Below are 5,178 nucleotides of genomic sequence, written 5' to 3'. Positions count from 1 at the left end.
GTGCCTCACAGGCACATCTCCCTAATCCTGCAGGTGCAGGGACCTGGGCAGCATCTCACAGTGGGAGGTGCATAAGCTCGGGAGACAGCCCACTTTGCTCTGCATCCCACTCTGCCACTTACTAGATGTCAGGCTTAAGTCAGGTTACCCAACCTCTGTGAATCCCAGTTTCCTCACCTATAAATAAGAAATAATACTTTTAGAACTCATGTTTCCCCTTAAAATACCAGAGAACTAAGTTCAATTCTTTGGAAGCCAGACAAGGACACTGTGAAAGGAAAATAGAATCTCGGAACCCCAAACTCACTATGCCAAAGGGAAAAGCTAAACTTGGAAGCTGAGTCACGCAAAAACGGCTGTTTCCTGTGTTCCTAAACAGATAGCTACAAGATAGAAGTCCACTTGTCTCCCCGGGTGGCCTTCCTCTCCCTGATGATGATAACAGCTTATTTTCATGGGTGTGAGCCAAGAGGAGACTAGGAATCATGCCACCACCCACCCCAAGACGAACACATATTTGATTTCTTTCTCCATTCTATGTTTATTTTATAGAAAGTGCAGATTTTCTGAGCAAGAGACAAATACGTAATGGACTGTTCCTCTACCCTGTCCTTTTCACATGCAATGTGTGGATTTGGTGAGTGCTCATCAGGGCCCTGCAAGAACGTGACCACACTGTCCCTCTTTTTCGTTCTTTCCTCCTTTCTCCTCCTGCTTGCTTTTTCCCCTTAAATATCGAAGCCCTTAAAATCCCCTTTGGAAAAAGTTCAGACCACAGATCCTACTGTGGCTTGAGTCTCATTTTCCCCAGCACACCCTCAACCTTGGCAAAATACACATGTAAATTGAGATGCGCCTCAGTTGCTTTTTTTGGTTTACAACATGGCCTTTTTGCTGCTCAGTTGCCAGCACCCAGCATAAGATGAGCATAAATGTTCTGTTCACCTGCCTTCTTGCTGCTGTGCCCTCGCCTTGCTGGCCAAGATAGCGAGCAGGGCTCGGATCTCTCCCGGTGGACCCTGCTTGTCCAGATTCCCTGTGAGCTGTTGACAAAGGCTCATCCACTACCTCTGGTGCTCCAGGATCATGAAACACTCGGTTCAGCCAGGGGAGCCTGGCAGGGCCCTTTCCATGTCTGCAGCGGCCAATCTGACTCAGGTGACCCCAAGAGGGGCCGAAGCTGATTGGAAAAGTCATCTCATTGTGGTGGAGACTGGAGAGGGTCAGGGCAGTAAGGTGGGTGAGCTCAGCAAACCTGGAAGCTGGGTTGTTTCATGCATAATTCAATGTGGGGAACATCCCTGGAGGATTCCTGCTTTTTCCCACAGTTTTCTGGTACCAGAAAATGTCTTCCTCACAGAGCACCAGCTGCCTCTGCAGGCGAAGAGGATGAGTCGCAGCAGTTGCAGGGAGCAGAGGGTCTCAACGGCCAGGGGGAACCAGGTTGGACCAACCTGCCCAGCCCCTTAGTTACCCCTGGGACTGGGGACCACCTAAGGATGGGAGAGTGTTGGATGATTCCTCTCCTGTGAGATGTGGGTGGGCCTGGATTGCCCTCAAGTCTCCCCCAGCTCCAGGATGCCACGATTCTCCTCCGTCCCTGAGCCAGGCCTTTTCCCTTCAAAAGTCTGTGGGGGCAGCAGGCAAGGGGTTCCGTGCCTCAGGTCTAGTGCCACACAGCAGACACAGGCAGGGCAGGTGCCCCAGCCAAGGCCTCCTGACACCCAGTCCAGGGCTTGGGGGTCCTCCATGCCCGTGGGAAGCCAGAGTCCATGCCATGAGGGCATGAGCTTCCTCACCTCTGCCCTCACATGGAGAAAATAAACTTGAAATAGGAGGTACCCAGAAGCCATCATACAGCTGCGGAAACTGGGTCTCAGAGAGGCCAGGTCATTTTCCCAAGATCCTTCAGGTAGGAGGTGGAAGAGCTGGGATTGCAAGCCAGGTCTCAGTGGTTGCAGAGCTGAGCTCTTAGGTGACAGAGCTTGGACCCTGGCCATGGCCTGCTCTCCTTTGGGTTCAGGAAACCCTGTCAGGGCCCAGCCTGCTCTGTTCCCTCATGTCCAGACTGTGAGAGTGGCTGTTATTTCCAAAGCCTCTGTATTTTCTTGGAACCCAACCCCAGGCCTCCACAGCTGAGCAAGCCCTGCGCCTTTAGTTTATGACAGCCCTTGAGATTGTGGCTGACCTGGGCCCGTGACACATCTGTGGCCTGCTTAGTGCCTGCTGGGATGTGGTATTGGGATTCTGGTCGTGCCTGTTAAATCTTACTAGCAGGCTTCTCATGCTGCTTCAAAGCCAGCTCCTCCTCAGAGCTCCCCCAGAGAGGCAGGAACAGCCAGGCCAAGCCTCCCAGAGCTCTGCCCGGGATGCCTTATCAAAGCACATAAAATGCCCAATTCCACCAACAGCAGCAGCCGAGCCTGGAAAGCTGAGCAGAGAGCAGAGGGCCAATGGGCAGGACAGTGCAAAGCCAAGCCCAGCCCAGCCCACTCCCCAGCCATGGGGGTGCCAGAGCTACACGCAGGGCCTGGCAGCAGTGTGAGGACACTTTTGTCTCCACGGGACTGCACTGTATCAGCACTTAGCTGAGTTTGCTGGTTCTAAGGCCCAAGTTATGCTTGGGCTGCAGCGGGCCCTCCGTTTGCATCCAGGGAGGCAGGAGCCTTCCACTGTCAGCAGCAGGTCTTTTGTGTTTATCTCCGGATTGAGTCTCTCCTTGAAGATAATAATTAAAGCAGGCACATTAAGGAAATAACAGCCCTGGGGCTCAGAGGCGGAGATGGTGGGGTGTGCTATAGACCTAGGAGGGGCTTGGCCACCAGGCAGGAGGTGCTGAAGGGTGGAGGCTCCCCCACTGCCCATGGTTATGCTCCGTCCATAACCATGTTCCTAGAGATTGCAGCAGATGCTGTGGGTGCCCCAACCTTGTCTCCTGAGCTCTGGCTCTTCATAAATCTGCAGCCCTGGCTCAGAGCTGGGCACAGGCTGGCCCTTGGCAAACACTTGGCAACTGAGCATCTAGAGAAACAGAGCCCCCTCCTCAGACCCCTTGTGCGAGGAATGGGTGGGCAGGGGCTTCCTCTCAGTTCTCTCGTCTCTGGTGATCTATCTCTACCCTGACACATTTTGTTTGGGTAGGGGGAATTGGGATCCCTGGGCCCCCTTTTGCCCCATGTCTCCTCTGGAGCTCATTCCTCAGCAGATGGGGCCCAGGAGGGAGGAGGCAGAGGGTGGGGCCCCTCCCTACCTCCCTTCCCAGGCAAAGCCATCACTCCCCAGGGGGAAAGAGAATGACTCAGACAGAACCAAGGTAGGGACAGAGCAGGAAATGTCACATCACATAGCAGAAGACATAATCTAGCTTGTAACATTTCCCTGGTGAACCAAGGCACTGTAGAAAGAACAAGCTCAGCCGCGTGGCGTCCCTTACCTCGCCCTCCTGGTCCGCAGGGAAGCTCCCAGCCCTCCATTTCCCATGTAGCGCCTATTTCAAGCGCATTGTTTATTTCCGCTTGATGAAGTGCAATTCATTTAAGGCTCTCTGTTGGTTATTTCACGTCTCCAAAGCATATTTTTCATGGGAAGGTCAATTCCGAGAAAACACTCAAGAGTCTGGAAATTAAATCTATTCACAAGTGAAAAGTGGCCAGTTGCTAAAGGAGGGGTCTTTGACTAAGACCCTCTGGACTAATTACTGTGAAAACTGACTGGCCGTTTTGGGAGGGCTGGGGTGGAATTTACACAGGGGCTTTATGCTTCTTGCTATTTTATTTTTTCCCAGTGGCTGAAGTTAAGCTTCATTTCCAAGTCCAGAGAGAATGATCAAAGGAGCCTCATCAGCGGGCAACTCAGCCTCATGCAGGGCACTGAGAAGCCCCTTTCAGTCCACCCCCACCAGAAAGGGGCCTCTGTTCCTCAAACCTCATAAATAGTCGGGAAACAGCCTCTGGCTCCCGCAGCCCCCATGGTTTGGGCTTTGGGCTCTTCACATGTGCAGGGCAGCGGAGAGCAAGAGAACCAGAAATGCCTCAAGACCACGATTCTAATCCAGCAGAGACCATTTACAGAGATCCGGAGACGGCTGGGAGGTGGGGAGGAGGACCAAGGGCAAGGAGGGATGTTCCTTTAATTCTGGGACATCTGAAAAATTGGGGTAATTTCCAAAGGTTCTGAGTGCTGAAGAGGGGCAAGGGTTCAATGTCTTATAGCACAGATTCAGCTACCTGCAGTTAACTGCAGTCCCAAAATATTAAATGGAAAATTCCAGCAATAAACAGTGTTTAAGTTTTAAATTGCATACCGCTCTCAGTAGCATGATGTCATCTTGTGCTGTGCAGCTCTGTCCCACCCGGGAGGTGAACCCTCCCTCAGGCATATTCACACTGTATAGGCTACTCACCCCATAGTCACTGGGTAGTTGGCTAGGTTGTCAGATCAACGGTCACTGTATCGAGACGGCAGGGCTTGTGTTCAAGCCACCCTTATTTTACTTAATAATGTCCACAAGGCATAAGAGTAGTGATGCTGACCATTCAGATAAGACAAAAAGAAGCTGTAAAGTGCTTCCTTTAAGGGAAAACGTGAAAGTTCTTGACTTAAGGGAAAAAAAACAACAACAGTATATATAGGGTTCAGTATTACCTGGGGCTTCAGGCATCCACTGGGGATCTTAGAACCTATCCTCCACAGATAAGGGGGCTACTGTATTTGAAGACAACTCTCCTAGCTCATCTCTATAGGGTTTTGCCTTCTCCAGTTTCGACAGCCCCATTGTTTTCAGCATTATTCATCACACATCCTTCACGAAGCTGGCTCCCCTAACCAAGCTTGAGTTTTTTGTCTCTTTTTACATTGTCTCACAAAGCTGGATCCAGTTCTCCAAGGAAGAACTTACAGGGGAGAATGGTGCTCAACACATAATTGCCGAAATAATTGCAGTGAAATTAAACACAACATTGCACCATTCAATACATCAAGTGCTCCAACCTGCAATGAAGTTGCAGCCTCCGTACTCAGCCAGAATGCTCAGCGCCCACCTTATGAAGGAGCAGGTGCTCACAGTGAAGGGAAGCTATGCCCAGAAATGAGCATCTGGGCTCACCCTGTGAGGCGGGAACACCAGCTCTGAATCACAGGAGTCCCCGCAAGGCTGTGCTGCGCCCCTCTGGCTAGTGC

At 51.6% G+C, this 5,178-nt stretch overlaps 4 annotated features.

Annotated features, from left to right (window-relative positions):
* Positions 596-1,095: an enhancer, noted in NCBI's record as "H3K27ac hESC enhancer chr1:30331015-30331514 (GRCh37/hg19 assembly coordinates)". NCBI's record gives its function as "activates a minimal SCP1, AML or CMV promoter by ChIP-STARR-seq in primed H9 embryonic stem cells {active_cell/tissue: H9 hESC(primed)}" and the evidence as "EXISTENCE:reporter gene assay evidence [ECO:0000049][PMID:30033119]".
* Positions 2,216-2,887: an enhancer, noted in NCBI's record as "H3K27ac-H3K4me1 hESC enhancer chr1:30329223-30329894 (GRCh37/hg19 assembly coordinates)". NCBI's record gives its function as "activates a minimal SCP1, AML or CMV promoter by ChIP-STARR-seq in primed H9 embryonic stem cells {active_cell/tissue: H9 hESC(primed)}" and the evidence as "EXISTENCE:reporter gene assay evidence [ECO:0000049][PMID:30033119]".
* Positions 2,888-3,560: an enhancer, noted in NCBI's record as "H3K27ac-H3K4me1 hESC enhancer chr1:30328550-30329222 (GRCh37/hg19 assembly coordinates)". NCBI's record gives its function as "activates a minimal SCP1, AML or CMV promoter by ChIP-STARR-seq in primed H9 embryonic stem cells {active_cell/tissue: H9 hESC(primed)}" and the evidence as "EXISTENCE:reporter gene assay evidence [ECO:0000049][PMID:30033119]".
* Positions 3,174-3,374: a silencer, noted in NCBI's record as "peak148 fragment used in MPRA reporter construct". NCBI's record gives its function as "represses an SCP1 promoter by STARR-seq MPRAs in K562 erythroleukemia cells {active_cell/tissue: K562}" and the evidence as "EXISTENCE:reporter gene assay evidence [ECO:0000049][PMID:32103011]".

This window comes from Homo sapiens, chromosome 1 (assembly GCF_000001405.40).
Source record: "Homo sapiens chromosome 1, GRCh38.p14 Primary Assembly".
In the NCBI taxonomy this organism is placed as follows: domain Eukaryota; kingdom Metazoa; phylum Chordata; class Mammalia; order Primates; family Hominidae; genus Homo; species Homo sapiens.
The sequence above is the reverse complement of the archived record's forward strand: the minus strand, read 5'-3'. Positions and strand labels throughout refer to the sequence as shown.